The 16,122-nt window shown below is 45.9% G+C and overlaps 1 protein-coding gene and 1 long non-coding RNA gene across 34 annotated transcripts in view; one reads left to right on the forward strand and one right to left on the reverse strand.

The window, feature by feature from the left end:
- LOC107986489 (uncharacterized) overlaps window positions 1–2,834 on the forward strand; it is a 57,699-nt gene extending 54,865 nt beyond the window's left edge. For all 7 annotated transcript variants that reach the window (XR_001743020.2, XR_001743023.2, XR_001743022.2 and 4 more), the window contains exon 5: window positions 2,222–2,834. This is a non-coding gene — a long non-coding RNA (uncharacterized LOC107986489). The remainder of the gene's footprint in view (window positions 1–2,221) is intronic.
- The window catches only part of FAM153A (family with sequence similarity 153 member A), an 89,179-nt gene that overhangs the window by 32,997 nt on the left and 40,060 nt on the right, over window positions 1–16,122 (reverse strand). For 22 of the 27 annotated variants that reach the window (NR_146226.2, NR_146227.2, XM_017009359.2 and 19 more), the window contains 12 exons: window positions 14,013–14,089; window positions 13,534–13,558; window positions 12,357–12,427; window positions 11,870–11,894; window positions 9,799–9,869; window positions 9,336–9,366; window positions 7,620–7,690; window positions 7,137–7,161; window positions 4,787–4,857; window positions 4,326–4,356; window positions 2,242–2,312; window positions 1,780–1,810 (listed from right to left, as the gene is read on the reverse strand). Coding sequence is in view for 25 of the 27 variants with exons in the window: in XM_017009359.2 (XP_016864848.1) it covers window positions 1,780–1,810; window positions 2,242–2,312; window positions 4,326–4,356; window positions 4,787–4,857; window positions 7,137–7,161; window positions 7,620–7,690; window positions 9,336–9,366; window positions 9,799–9,869; window positions 11,870–11,894; window positions 12,357–12,427; window positions 13,534–13,558; window positions 14,013–14,089 (600 nt within the window). In the remaining 2 variants the exon portion in view is untranslated. The remainder of the gene's footprint in view (window positions 1–1,779; window positions 1,811–2,241; window positions 2,313–4,325; window positions 4,357–4,786; window positions 4,858–7,136; window positions 7,162–7,619; window positions 7,691–9,335; window positions 9,367–9,798; window positions 9,870–11,869; window positions 11,895–12,356; window positions 12,428–13,533; window positions 13,559–14,012; window positions 14,090–16,122) is intronic. The other 5 variants (XM_017009365.2, XM_011534520.3, XM_047417106.1 and 2 more) reach the window with 4 other exon arrangements.

A 16,122-nucleotide genomic window follows, 5' to 3' on the forward strand; every position in this document is an offset into this window, starting at 1 on the left:
AAAGCCTGGTCCAGCAAAGGAGGACTCGTAAACAGAAAAACAGCCTCTTCTGCAAGGAGAAAAGCTGAACCAAAGTAGCCAGGGTAGAGATGAGGGGGACACTTCATTGACTTCAGGAGCCCACCCTATTCTCCTGTGACCTTGGATCAGAATCCACTAAGGTTTCTAAATTACTATGAGAAACAACAGATTGAAGGAGATGAGCAGGAAGCCTTTTCACACTGGTGCTGGATCTCAGCAAAGGGTTTGGAAGCATTGGAACATTACTGGGGCCCAAGATGGGCTGCCCAGGGCTAAGCTCTGGGATGAGAAGGAACGAGGAGGACATAGTCCTTCCCCTCCGTGACCAGCCATGGCCAGGATTCATCTACACATAAGTAAAGCAAAACAGAGTTTAGGACTAACAATTCCAAGACTATCTCAGAGAAAAGGCAAAGTGATGTCTTATACATCACACAGGAGAGTTGCAAGGACCACCTGGACTCTGGAGCAGCCCCACTCCCTTTGCTGAGTTCACCTTGCACTGAAGCAGGGTCTGTTCTCACCTCCTCTGCAACTAGTGTGGGGCAGGTATCCTGCCTGATGATTATTTCATTAAATACAATAGAATATGCCACTGATTATTGTCTGCTTTTGAAAAGGAGCTGAGGAATGATTTCACCATTCTAGACCAAAAGCCTGAGGACTGTGTGTGTTTTACATTAATGATCACACTAAAGCCCACTGTGCAATGTACCTACTCAAACAAACCCTGGGTTAGCTGACCATTGAGACCATCTGATAACGATAGTGTTTGGGATCTGAATAGCTTTTCATTCTCCCACATGCACACAGAATTGCTGGAATAACTTGGCCTAGCAAGAAATTATACCAGGGCTTTGTGACAAATTCAGTGTACTAGCTCATGGCATTAACCTTCCACTCATCCCCGAGTTCACATGTGCCTCTTGCACTTAAAAGACCAAGAGCTTGGGAAATTCAACTCTGCAGCGTGTCCATCTGAGGACTGGGTATATTAAACTTATCTTCAGGTACAGCTGTGGTGGACGATGAATGGGTTGATTTATGCAAACTGTGCAGTGGTGATGGAATTTTTCTTGGACATTGATCCTCGTGTTGTGCTTTGAACATGGGAGTATGTTTTCTGGGGAAATGCACACACACTCACAAAGACATCCACAATCATTCCATATAGACTCTCTCCTCTGTCCCTCCCAACTCTGATGTACTACCCCACCTTACATGACACTGCTGCTTCCAGGGATGACAGTAGCATGGTTAGAGTACTGGACTCTTAGTTTGTTGGGGTGTTTTTTTTTTTGTTTGTTTTTGTTTTTTTTTTTGAGACGGAGTTTCGCTCGTTGCCCAGGCTGGAGTGCAATGGCACAACCTTGGCTCACCGCAACCTCTACCACCTGGGTTCAGGTGATTCTCCTGCCTTGGCCTCCTGAGTAGCTGGGATTGCAGGCATGTGACACCACACCCAGGTAATTTTGTATTTTTAGGAGCGATGGGGTTTCTCAATGTCAGTCAGGCTGGTCTCAAACTCCTGACCTCTGCTGATCCGCCCGTCTCCGCCTCTCAAGGTGCTGGGATTACAGGCGTGAGCCACTGTGCCCGGTGTGACTCTTAGTAGTTTTTAAACCAAAATTCCCAAATCTCATTTCTGGCAGAAAGCTCAAACCAGAGTGGCCCTTGAGCAAAAGCAGGTGAAGCAGCACTACCTTTACAACACTAAGATTTCACACCTAAACAAAGAGATGATCCCAGAATACGTACGCTTTGCCAGTGTGGCTGGGTCCACCTGCATCTAGAGAAAAAGAAAACACTATGAGGGTCAGACCATGCTGTCTCCTGTGTGCACAGGTCTTCACTTGTTGACGTTAAAAAGCCAGATGGTAAACAGTGGTTGAGACAATGGCCCCGGTATCTAGAAGACATTCCTGGAAAGGCACAGGATTTCTGTGCAACATTTTCAATTGTTTTTCTTTGACAATTCCAAATTCTTCTCAAGAAGAAGGAATTTCTCTTAAGGAAAATGCCTGTTGACACACAGTTTGTAAGTGTGGATGCCATCTGAAACCACTGTTTAGTTGATAATGAACTCTGGCATTTGCCCACCAAGAAATTCTGTCAGTCACCTATAGTGTGTATGGTGAGGTGTATACATCTTAATTCAATTGAAACAGAGAAACCGAGAGAAATAAAATTTCCTTTTCAGAGGAAAGAAGACGACTTTACCATGTGAACCCCTGTGGCTTCCTCAGAGACTGTCTGCTCTGGCACATGCTCCTCCAGGTCTTCCAGGTCACCTAGGAAACAGAGTCGCTATAAGCACATGAGCTCCACTGAGTGAATCCCTCAGGTGGTCTTGGAGCTGTGGACACGGGGCTGGCGTGTGTGGAAAGGTGTGTTCACAGCACAGACTCAGCTGCTGCCGGTCCATCCTCCGTGGTGGAGAGGGAAGGCAAATGGTGAAGGAAGGCACCAGGAAGGCCTCAGAAGACAGAGCCTTGGTCCTCTAGCTACGCCAACCTCTTCGACATGAAAGAGCCCATCTCAAACAGAGCACACCACACAGTGTTTCACTGCAGCATCCAGGACTCCTCCTTCCTAATATGACCTGAGCTAACTTGCCCTCTTATTGATCCCTGCCAAAGTCATTTCCTCCTCACAATCCACTGAGGAGGATGCTGATGTGTTTACCATCCCTTTTAGAGGATTTTGTATGGAATAAGAAGCAACCATTCTTAAAATAGGAGATTTAATTCTAGCCAAAAGATTTTATTACTGACTTTCTGTTACAAGGCAAATAAACCAAGATTTGAAAATAATTATCCTACCATTTAAAGATGACCCCTACTTAGCATGTGGTATTTGTTCTTCCACTCTCCCTTTTCAACAGAATTTGTGTGCACCATGATGTTCACTGCTCCTCATGCTCACACTGACTCCAGCACTGGGACAGCCTGTCATGGGGAGCAGCGAGGGGGTGCGGGGGGCGGGCACTGACCCTCTCCAACCCAGCTGTGCAGGAGATTCCTGCAGGGAAAATGGGTGCCCGGCTAATTCCCAAGTTGAGCCTTGAGATTTTTTTATTGGATGCTATGTCTTGGGATTGGGTTCCACTGAACTTCTAAGACTTGCGGTGGTTATCTCCTTAAATACAATAGAGTATGGCACTGATTATTGTCTGCTTTTGAACAGGAGCTGAGGAATGACCTCAACACTGTAGTCCAAAAGCCTGAGGACTCTGTGTGTTTGACATTAATGGTCACACTAAAGCCCACTGCGCAATGTACCTACTCAAACCCTGGGTTAGCTGACCATTGAGACCATCCAATAACGATAGTCTGTGGGATCTGAATAGGTTTTCATTCTCCCACATGCACACAGAAGTGCTGGGATCAGTTGGCCTAGGAAGAAACTATACAAGGGCTTTGTGACAAATTCAGTGTAGTAGCTCATGCCATTAACCTTCCACTCATCCCCGAGTTCACATGTGCCTCTTCCACTTAAAAGACCAAGAGCTTGGGAAATTCAACTCTGCAGCATGTCCATCTGAGGACTGTGGATATTAAACTTATCTTCAGGTACAGCTGTGGTGGAGGATGAATGGATTGATTTATGGAAACTGTGCAGTGGTGATGGAATTTTTCTTGGACATTGATCCTTGTGTTGTGCTTTGAACATGGGAGTATGTTTTCTGGGGAAATGCACACACACTCGCAAAGACATCCACAATCATTCCATATAGACTCTCTCCTCTGTCCCTCCCAACTCTGATGTACCACCCCACCTTAGATGACACTGCTGCTTCCAGGGATGACAGTAGCATGGTTAGAGTACTGGACTCCCAGTTTGTTGGGTTTTTTTTTTTTTTTTTTTTGAGACAGAGTTTCACTCGTTGCCCAGGCTGAAGTGCAATGGCACAACCTTGGCTCACTGCAACCTCTACCACCTGGGTTCCAGTGATTCTCCTGCCTCAGCCTCCTGAGTAGCTGGGATTACAGGCATGTGACAACACACCCAGGTAATTTTGTATTTTTAGGAGCGATGGGGTTTCTCAATGTCAGTCAGGCTGGTCTCAAACTCCTGACTTCTGCTGATCCGCCCGTCTCCACCTCTCAAGGTGCTGGGATTACAGGCGTGAGCCACTGTGCCCGGTGTGACTCTTAGTAGTTTTTAAACTGAACTTCCCAAATCTCATTTCTGGCAGAAAGCTCAAACCAGAGTGGCCCTTGAGCAAAAGCAGGTGAAGCAGCGCCACCTTTACAACACTAAGATTTCAAACCTAAACAAAGAGAGGATCCCAGAATACGTACTCTTTGCCAGCGTGGCTGGGTCCACCTGCATCTAGAGAAAAAGAAAACACTATGAGGGTCAGACCATGCTGTCTCCTGTGTGCACAGGTCTTCACTTGTTGACATTAAAAAGCCAGATGGTAAACAGTGGTTGAGACAATGGCCCCGGTATCTAGAAGACATTCCTGGAAAGGCACAGGATTTCTGTGCAACATTTTCAATTGTTTCTGTTTGACAATTCCAAATTTTTCTCAAGAAGAAGGCATTTCTCTTAAGGAAAATGCCTCTGACACACAGTTTCTAAGTGTGGATGCCATCTGAAACCATTTTTTAGTTGATAATGAACTCTGGCATTTGCCCACCAAGAAATTCTGTCAATCACCTATAGTGTACATGGTGAGATGTATACATCTTAATTCAATTGAAACAGAGAAACCGAGAGAAATAAAATTTCCTTTTCAGAGGAAAGAAGACGACTTTACCATGTGAACCCCTGTGGCTTCCTCAGAGACTGTCTGCCCTGGCACATGCTCCTCCAGGTCTTCCAGGTCACCTAGGAAACAGAGTCGCTATAAGCACATGAGCTCCACTGAGTGAATCCCTCAGGTGGTCTTGGAGCTGTGGACACGGGGCTGGCGTGTGTGGAAAGGTGTGTTCACAGCACAGACTCAGCTGCTGCCGGTCCATCCTCCATGGTGGAGAGGGAAGGCAAATGGTGAAGGAAGGCACCAGGAAGGTCTCAGAAGACAGAGCCTTGGTCCTCTAGCTATGCCAACCTCTTCGACATGAAAGAGCCCATCTCAAACAGGGCACACCACACAGTGTTTCACTGCAGCCTCCAGGGCTCCTCCTTCCTAATCTGACCTCAGCTAACTTGTCCTCCCTTCTTTATCCCCTCGAGGTCATTTCCTCCCAGGATCCACCTGTCCTGCTGCTGTGTTTTTTGTCCCTCCCAGAACTTGCTTTTTTTTTTTTTTTTTGAGATGGAGTTTCTCTTTTCTTGCCCAGGCTGGAGTATAATGGTGCCATCTCGACCCACCACAACCTGTGCCACCTGGGTTCAAGGGATTCTCCAGTGTCAGCCTCCTGAGTAGCTAGGATTACAGGCATGCATCTCCATGCTTGGCTAATTCTGTATTTTTAGGAGAAACGGGTTTTCTCCATGTTGGTCAGTCTGGTCTCGAACTCTCAACCTCAGGTAATCTGCGCGCCTTGGCCTCCCAAAGTGCTGGGGTTACAGGCGTCAGTCACCATGTCACAACTTTTGTACTAGATAAAAAGCAACCCTTCCTCAAAGAGGAGACTTAATTCTAACTAAAATATCCTATGTATTCACTAACCTTTTGTTTTAAAGAAGACTAAGCCAAGATTTGAAAATACTCAATTATCCTACCATTTAAAGATGACCGCTACTTGGCCCATGGTGTTTGTGCTTCTGCTCTTCCTTTTAACACAGTGTGTGTGTGCCATGGGACCTGCTGCTGCTCATGCTCACACTGGCTCCAGCACTAGGACAGCCCATCATGGGGGCAGCAGGTGGGGGTGCTGAACCTCTCCAACCCAGCTGTGTAGGAGTCCAGCAGAGAAGATGAGGACCAGGGTAACATCCAAGTTTTTCCTTCGGTTCTTATTTGGTGCTGTGTCTTGGGGGTATGTGCTGAACTGCAGCATATGTAAGGCTTGTGGAGATTATGCCATTAAATACAATATAACACACCTGATTATTTTGTGCTTTTGATCAGGACATGAGAAAATAACACAGCACTGCATGAGCCACCCTCCATCATGCTAGGAAGGCAAGTGCTCGCCCTGCCTCTCAGACCCTAGGGCAAACCCCTTGGTTTTCTTTTCATGTTGTAGTTTCTGAGCCGAGCACACAGAAACCATGACTAGGCTGAGGGATACAAGGCTGAAACTCTACATGACCCTGGAATTATCCATTCTGGGCCCCATTATCTTATGGTCAATATGAGACCTCTATGGAGAAAGTTGGGGTGATTTCCCCCTAACCCCGCCTGCAGGCTCCTCTCTTCTCAGTTTCCCAGCAGAACTCGCTGTAGCATGAGGCTGCTCCAGGGTCTAAATGCACAGGAAGAAGCCCTGCCCCACTCTCCCTGCTCAAGATGGGTGGTGGAGGGTCAGTTCTGAGGGCTTTGGTAGAAAAGGCTTGTAAAGGAGGGAAGGGGCTAGAGTGAGGTGTCATGCCATTCTAGTGGCAAGAGGAAATAGAAAGGCCTGTGAAGAGGTGAGGTTTATTAGAAAATAAAGTATAGCAGGGAATTCTGAATGAAAAAATAAAATCAGCAGAGATCCTGACACAGTCCTGTTCTATGGGTGTGCAGTAAGAATTTGCCTGGGTGTGGAGAGGATTTCTTTTAGGTTAATTAAAGTGTCCTGTGCGTGAAATAAACTGTACACTTTGGAAGCTTACAAGTTAATTTTTTCATGTGCCTGCAACAGGACTGCAACGGTGATGGAAATCTCTGTTGAGAATGTGGACACTAGAAAATCCGGGGATATGTAGTACGGAAACCCACACACACACCCCCAGACTCACTGACCACAGCACCACATGAATTCACAAAAGACATGAGCAGGCCCCTTGCACGGGATCCCACCCCACCTTCAGAGAACACAGCTGCTCCCGGGGACTGCAGAATGTGGCCACTGTTTCTTATCTAGAAAACCATTTCTCCCATCACAGTCTAGGTCCTCATTCACAACATGAAGCTCAGCTCAGGCTGCCTGTCTACAGGAAAGCCTGTGAGACAGGGCCACATTCCTCAACATCTGGATTACTCATCAGTATGAGAGGGGTTCCCCAATACGTACCACGTTGTGGAACTCCCAAGGATGTCTGTAACGACAGAAAATAAATTGCTATGAGCATCAGACCATGCTGTGTCCTGTGAGCACAGGACTTTTCTTCACTTAGTGACATTAGAAAACAAGATGGAAAACCCAGTGTTCAAAGGAACCCCAAAGAAGCGAACAAATCAACTCATACTAAAGACACACATTTTTCTCAGAGGATGTTTCCTCTGAAGTCCATGTTGGCTGGCAAGTAGCTGATTTTGCTCCAAAGAGAACAAAATTGGTAAGGCTCACTGTTACACAACAGGTGACTGATGCTGTCATTTTCTCCCACTGTCTTAAATCAAGCCTCAGTGGGGACAGACTCTCACTTACCATTTCCCTCAAGGACACTGTGTAACTAAGATATATATCTTCAGATTCTCATATCTTAATTTAATCCAAATAAGATAAAGCTAAGAAAGCAACAGTTTTTTCTCAGACAAATCCAGTTGGCCTGACCTTCACCTCCTCTGGGTCCTCCTCCTCACCGTTGTAACTGGACAGCTCCTGAAGTACATCCCTGATCAGAACTAGGAGGATACAAAGTGACCATCAGCACCTTGGTGGTGGTGCTCATGAACAATTCAGTAACACTGCTTGAGGTGGGTTTGGGAGGAGGGTAGCAGGCACAGGAGAGATGCAGGAAGAAAGGGAATCAGGGCCTTTGGCTTCCTAGCTCCAGGCCACCTCATAAACATATAATAGCCAATCTCAAACAGTGCACACCACGCAGTGCAGGCTGTGTGTCCCTGGCAGCCTCTTAGGGCTCCTCCTTCCTAATCTGACCTGAGCTAACTTGCCCTCTTATTGATCCCTGACAAAGTCATTTCCTCCTCAGAATCCACATGTGCTGCTGATCTGTTTATCATCCCTTCTAGAAGATTTTGTACGGAATAAGAAGCAACCTTTCTTAAAATAGGAGATTTAATTCTAGCCAAAAGATTTTATTACTAACTTTCTGGTACAAGGCAAATAAACCAAGATTTGAAAATAATTTTCCTACCATTTAAAGATGACCCCTACTTAGCATGTGGTATTTGTTCTTCCACTTTCCCTTTTCAACAGAATTTGTGTGTAGCATGATGTTCACTGCTCCCCATGCTCACACTGACTCCAGCACTGGAGCAGCCTGTCATGGGGAGCAGCGAGGGGGTGCGGGGGGTGGGCACTGACCCTCTCCAATCCAGCTGTGCAGGAGATTCCAGCAGGGAAAATGGGTGCCCGGCTAACACCCAAGTTGAGCCTTGACTTTTTTTTATTGGATTCTATGTCTTGGGATTGGGTTCCACTGAACTTCTAAGACTTGCCGTGATTATCTCATCAAATACAATAGAGTATGGCACTGATTATCGTCTGCTTTTGAACAGGAGCTGAGGAATGACCTCAACGCTGTAGACCAAAAGCCTGAGGACTCTGTGTGTTTTACATTAATGATCACACTAAAGCCCACTGTGCAATGTACCTACTCAAACAAACCCTGGGTTAGATGACCATTGACACCATCTGATAATGATAGTGTTTGGGATCTGAATAGGTTTTCATTCTCCCACATGCACACAGAAGTGCTGGAATAACTTGGCCTAGCAAGAAATTATACCAGGGCTTTGTGACAAATTCAGTGTACTAGCTCATGGCATTAACCTTCCACTCATCCCTGAGTTCACATGTGCCTCTTCCATTTAAAAGACCAAGAGCTTGGGAAATTCAACTCTGCAGCATGTCCATCTGAGGACTGCGGATATTAAACTTATCTTCAGGTACAGCTGTGGTGGAGGATGAATGGGTTGATTTATGCAAACTGTGCAGTGGTGATGGAATTTTTCTTGAACATTGATCCTCATGTTGTGCTTTGCAGATGGGAGTGTGTTTTCTGGGGAAATGCACACACACTCCCAAAGACATCCACAATCATTCCATACAGACTGTCTCCTCTGTCCCTCCCATCCCTGATGTACCACCCCACCTTAGATGACACTGCTGCTTCCAGGGATGACAGTAGCATGGTTAGAGTGGTTTACTGGATCTTAGCATTCTTTTAAACCAAACTTCCCAAATCTCATTTCTGGCAGACAGCTCAAACCAGAGTGGCTCTTGAACAAAGGCAGGCAAAACAGTGCCATCTTTGCAACTCTAATATTTTGAACCTAAACAAAGAGATGATCCCAGAATACGTACATTCGGCCAGTGTGTCTGGGTCCCCCTCCATCTAGAGAAAAACAAAACACTATGAGGATCAGACCAGGCTGTGTCCTGTGTGCACAGGTCTTCTCTTCACTTGTTTATGTTAAAAAAACAGATGGTAAATAGTACTTGAGACAATGGCCCCGATATCTAGAAGACATTCGTGGAAAGGCACAAGATTTTTGTGCAAGATTTTCATTGTTTTTGTTTGACAATTCCAAATTTTTCTCAAGAAGACATTTCTCTTAAGGTAAATGCCTGCTGACACACAGTTTGTAAATGTGGATGCCATCTGAAACCACTCTTTAGTTGATAATGAACGCTGACATTTGCCCACCAAGAAATTCTGTCAGTCACCTATAGTGTACATGGTGAGATGTATACATCTTAATTCAATTGAAACAGAGAAACCGAGAGAAATAAAATTTCCTTTTCAGAGGAAAGAAGACGACTTTACCGTGTGAACTTCTGTGGCTTCCTCAGAGACTGTCTGCCCTGGCCCATGCTCCTCCAGGTCTTCCAGGTCACCTAGGAAACAGAGTCGCTATAAGCACATGAGCTCCACTGAGTGAATCCCTCAGGTGGTCTTGGAGCTGTGGACACGGGGCTGGCGTGTGTGGAAAGGTGTGTTCACAGCACAGACTCAGCTGCTGCCAGTCCATCCTCCATGGTGGAGGGAAGGCAAATGGTGAAGGAAGGCATCAGGAAGGCCTCAGAAGACAGAGCCTTGGGTCCTCTAGCTAAGGCAACCTCTTTGAGATGAAGTAACCCATCTCAAACAGGGCACACCACACAGTGTTTCCCTGGAGCATCGACAGCTTCTCCTTCCTAATCTGACCTGAGCTAACTTGCCCTCCCTTCTTGATCCCCTAGAGGTCATTTCCTCCCCAGGATCCACATGTCCTGCTGCTGTGTATTTTGTCCCTCCTAGATTTATTATTATTATTATTTTTGAGATGGAGTTACTCTCTTCTTGCCCCAGCTGGAGTATAATTGTGCAATCTCAACCCACCACCACCTCTGCCTCCCAGGTTCAAGTGATTCTCCAGCCTCAGCCTCCTGAGTAGCTGGGATTATAGGCATGCATCACCATGCCCAGTTAATTCTGTATTTTTAGGAGAGATGGGTTTTCTCCATGTTGGTCAGCCTGGTTTCGAACGCCTGACCTCAGGTGATCCACCCGTCTTGGCCCCCCAAACTGCTGGAATTACAGGTGTGAGCCACCACGCCTGACCAGAATATTCTGTACTAGAAACAAAGCAACCTTTCTTCAATGAGGAGATTAATTCTATTAAAATATTCTATGTATTCACTAACCTTTTGTTTTAAAGAAGACTAAACCAAGATTTGAAAATACTCAATTATCCTACCATTTAAAGATGACTGCTACTTGGCCCGTGATGTTTGTCCTTCTGCCCTTCCTTTTAACACAGTGTGTGTGTGCCACGGGACCTGCTGCTGCTCATGCTCACACTGGCTCCAGCATTAGGACAGCCCATCACGGGGGCAGCAGGTGGGGGCGCTGAACCTCTCCAACCCAGCTGTATAGAAGAGTCCAGCAGAGAAGATGAGCACCAGGATAACACCCAAGTTTTTCCTTCGGTTCTCATTTGGTGCTGTGTCTTGGGTGTGTGTGCTGAACTGCAGCATATGTAAGGCTTGTGGAGTTTATGCCGTTAAATACAATATAACACGCCTGATTATTTTCTGCTTTGGATCAGGAGATGAGAAAATAACACAGCACTGCAGCCAAAAGCCTGACCTCGCAATGTCTGTTTCCCATGTGTCACCACACCAAAGTCCACTGTAAAATGTACTTATTCCTACACTGAGTTATGTGACCATTGAGACAATCCTACATGAGAGACAGTGTTTGGGATTTCTGAAGGCCATCCAACTTCCATATGCACACATAGGTGCTAAAACTCTCTGGCATAACAACAAATTATACCTGAACCATGTGATTACTTCAGAGTAGTAGCCCATGGCATCAACCTTCCACCCACTCCTGAGTTCACCTCTGCCTCTTGCACTGAGGAGATAAAGCGCTTGGCAAATTCATCTCTGCACTATCTCCAGCTGCGTACTGGGGATATTAAACTGGCCTTCAGCTACAGCTGTGGTGGAGGATAAATGGGCAGAGTGACGTTAAGGTGTGCAGTGGTAATGGAATTTTTATTTACAACACTCATCTTTGTGTTGAGCTGTGCACATGGAAGCATGCTATCTGGAGAAATGTACACATCCTCCCAAAGACATTCATAATCCCTATACATAGACTCTCTTCTTATACCCGCCCCCCACCTTGATGCACCTCATTCGATTTCATAGAATGACACGGCAGCTAACAGAGACTACGTAGGATGGTCACCACTCGTCAGTACACTCTTAGAAATTTCTTCCCAAACCCCATTTTCCAATAGGAAGCTCCAATGAGAGTGGTTCTCCAGAAAACGCAGGCAAGAACGTGTCACCTTTCTCAACACTAAGATTTTTCCTTAGCAAAAAGGTGATCCCAGAATACATACCGTTGGTTTGGGTGCCTGCGTCTGCCTGCGTTTAGAGAAAGAAAAACACCATGAGGGTAAGATCATGCTGTCTCTGTGCACAGGTCTTTTCTAAACTTGGTGCTATTAGAAAACCAGATGGGAAATTCTGGTGGAGGCAATGGCCACAAAAATAAAGCCTAGAGAACACTTGTAGAAAGGCACCAGGTTTTTGTGCAAGATTATTTAAAATTTATTTTGGTTGCAAATTCATAATTCTCAAAAAGGTTTTTCTCCTGAGGACAATGCTTGCTGACATAGTTTGTAACTGAAGCTGTCATCTATGAATGCCATCTTCAATCAGTTCTTAGTTAGTAATGAATTCTCATTTTACATTTTCCCACCAAGAAATTCTGTAAGTCATCTAAAATGTACATGGCAGTAAGATTTTCCTATCTTTATTCAAGTGAAATTGAAAGAAACCTAGGAAAATGAAATTCCCCTTTCAGACAAAAAAAGAACAACTTACATGGGCAACAGTGAGGAGACTCTGATTGGATGCTTCAGGGAGATGTTCTGCTATAAACTCCTCTAGATGATCTAGGAGAAATAGGGTAAGTGTCACTGCATGGATTCCGCTGAGGGAATCCCTCGGGTTGTATTGGGTGGTGTGGACATGAGGCTGGCATGTGTGAAGAAGGTTGGCTACCCCAGACGGAGCCGCAGGCCCTTTCTCCTTGGTGGTGCAGGCAGGCAAATGAGACAACGAGGAAAGCCATGGGAACTAGAGCGTTGGTCCTCTGGCTAACGCAAGCTCATCAATGGCACTCAGCTGATCTCAAAGATGGCACACCATAGGGGCAGGCTGTGCTTCCCTACAACGTCTCAGGTTCCTCCTTCCTAATCTGACCTGAGCTAACTTGCCCTCCCTTTGTGATCCCTTCTGAGGTCATTTCCCCCTCAGGATCCACATGTGCTGCTGCTGTTCATCATCCCTCCTAAAACATTTTGTACTGCATAAAAGCAACCTTTCTTCAAAAAAATTTAACCTTTGGTGATCAAGCCTGGCAACTACTCTGTGTCTGGCCTGACCCTGAAGTCAAAAAAACTTATGACTTCACTGAACCTTTGAGTCAAACAGAATTAAACCAAGATTTGAAAATACTCAATTATCCTACCATTTAAAAATGACCCGCACTTAGCTTATTTGTCCTTCCACTCTTCCTTTTCAACACGATGTATGTGTCCATGGAGTCAGTTGCTGTTCATGCTCACGCTGACTCCAGCACTAGGACAGATCATCATGGGGGGCAGTAGGTGGGGGCGCTAACACTCTCCAAACTAGCTGTGCAGGAAATCCCACTGGGGTGATGGACACCAGAATAACACCCCAATTCTTCCTTGAGCTCTTATTCTGCACTGTGTATTGGATGTGTGGGCTGAATAAGGGCATGTGGAACACTTGTGGCCATCATGTTATTAAACATAGCAGAATATGTCCCTGATTGTTCTCTGCATTTTTTTTTTTTGAGATGAAATCTCACTGTGTTGCCCAGGCTAGAATGCAGTGCCATGATCAAGGCTTAGGTGCAGCAAACCACCATGACACATTTATACCAATGTAACAAAGCTGCATGTTCTACACATGCATCCTAGAATTGCAAGCAAAATAAAAACAATAAAAAGAGTAAACCCAGAATACATACCTTCTGATGGAAAGCATACCCTTTTCTGCAAATAGAGAAAAGAAAAACATTATGAGAGTCAGACCACACTGTGGCCTGTGTGCACAGGTCTTTTCTGCATTGTTGACATTATAGAAAACCCAATGGAAATAGTGAAAATAGTCAACACAAGGGCTCCAAATTAAAGCCTAGAGGGCACGTGGAAAGGCACAAATTTTCTGTGCATGATTTCCAAGTTTATTTTCATTGCATGTTCACCATTAGTTTCAAGAAGGAAGCACTTCTCCTATGGAAAATGCTTACTGCCCTAGAGTTTTTAAGTGAACCTGTCATCTTGAATTCATTCTTGCTGGTAATTGACTCTGACTTTACAGCTGCCCACCAAGACATTCTGTAAGTCATCTATAATGTACATGGTAAGATGATCATCTCTTATCTCAATTTCTATGGAAACTAAGAGAAATAAAATTCCCACCTCAGATAAACAAAAAAGACTTTACCTTCACAGAGCCTGGCAACGTCTCCGAGAGTATCTCGGGTGGACACAATGGCTTGCCCAAGGAGCCTTCGTCACGCTCTAGGAAACACAGAGTAATTGTCAGCACGTTGGGTGCACTGAAGGAATCCGTCAGGCAGACTTGTGTGCTAAAAACACGGGGCTGGCACATGTAGACAAGGGGGGTTAACTACAAAAAAGGACCTCCTGCCAGAACATCCTCCTTGGTGATGAAGAAAGGTCAATGAGACCATCAGGAAACCACGGAAGACAGAGCCTTGGCAGCACAGACATGCACTGCTGATGCCATGGCAGTGTCTCATCATTCCCCTATGCGTTTTGAGGCCTGGGAAATTTCCACTTTCCTGTTGAAATGTGACAATGTCATTTATCTTTCCTGGGTCTACATATGCCTCTCTTGCACTTTCCATTCATTTTATTGAACTTCAGACATTGTTGTGGTAAAACATATACAAAATTTATTATTGTAATCATTCAGTGCACACTTCAGGAACAGACAGACCAGAACCGCAGGGGCAGAGAAGAGAAAACCTCACTGTTTGAGGAGCCCACCCTCTTCTCCCCGACCCTGGATTACAACCCACGCAGGTAACTGGGTAAGTGTGGGAACCCGGAGACTATAGAAAATGAGCAGAAAGTTTTTGCACACTTGTGCTAGATCTCAGAACAGGAATGCAGGCATCGGAACATCACTGGGGCCCAAGATGGGCTGCCCAGAGCTGAGCTCTGGGATGAGAAAGAAGGATGAGGACACAGTCCCTGCCCTCCCAGTGACCAGCCATGGCCAGGATTCCTCCACCTGTGAGTAGGAGACTACAGACTTTGGGACTGATGATTGCAAGGCTGTCTCAGAGAAACTGATCTCTTATGGATCACGCGGGAGGGTTGCAAGGACCACCTAAACTCCAGGGCAGCCCCTCTCCCTTTGTTGAGTTCAGCCTGCCTTAGAGCAAGGTCCCCTCCTCGCCTCCTCCAACACTAGCATTGGGCAGCTGCCCTGCCTTGGAGCTGAGGCTCCCTCCAGTAAAACGGAACTCTGGGCCAGGACACTCTTGGCCAATAGTAGCTACACAAGGACCACCTGTCCAGCGACTCCCAGAAGCTGATCTTTGTCCCAGCCACAGGGTGATCAAGCCTGGCAACTACTCTGTGTCTGGCCTGACCCTGAAGTCCATCCCTAATGATCATGTCCTCTCTGGGCTAAGTTGAACATTTCAGGAACTCACTCCTGTTCTCTGTCTCTCACTAATTTCTGGTGGTGCCATTGCTGTCAACACACAGGGAGATGGAGAAGACAAGAAACAAGAAAGTAGCTCCTCTGTCCAGGCTTTTGGGAAGATGGCCAATGTTCAGGCCAGCCATGAAGTCGGAGCTCAACTCCTCCTTCAGATGAGGCTTGAACATTCCGGCCGTGCCCAGGTGATGTAGAACTGACTCTCCTGATGTTGCACCTTGGCTTCCCTCGTGGCTTTGCTGCCCTCATGCCTTCCTTCTGCTCCTCCAAATCATGTTCCTCTGCAGGCCCAGGCCAAGGCTGTAGCCTGCTGTCTCTCGCATAGAGCCCAACGGGCAGCTGTCTATGAATTTTTAGAGCCCCAATGTTGGTAACACTGATTTGTACCTTTAATCGCTCACAGCAGAAAGCCCCCTGAGTACCACAAGAAACTATATTCTAGAGATTAAAGATGACTAGGGGAATCGGGTTATGAGGGGACAGTGTCTGAGGTTAGTGAAGGACATTTTCAAATCACACCAGCCTGATTGTTTTACAACGTGGGATAAGTAATGACACCTACACAGCAATCAAATTTGATTTATACACAATAAGTTTCCACCAAATGCATACTCCAAGAAAAAACTCAAGCTAAATTTGGCTGAGTTTATATTCCTATTCACCGAAACCAACTGCATTCACTTGTTTTTTTTTTGTTTTGTTTTTTTTTTTTTTGCAACAGCCTTCAGAAACAAACAAGCACCTTTGCCAACAGTCGGTTGAATGGGGACATCGTGGAGCCTCTGCAGTACCACAGCCGAGTTTGCTTTCCCACCTGCAGTGCATGAGCCACCCTCCATCATGCTAGGAAGGCAAGTGC

Source organism: Homo sapiens, chromosome 5 (genome assembly GCF_000001405.40).
Source record: "Homo sapiens chromosome 5, GRCh38.p14 Primary Assembly".
NCBI lineage: Eukaryota > Metazoa > Chordata > Mammalia > Primates > Hominidae > Homo > Homo sapiens.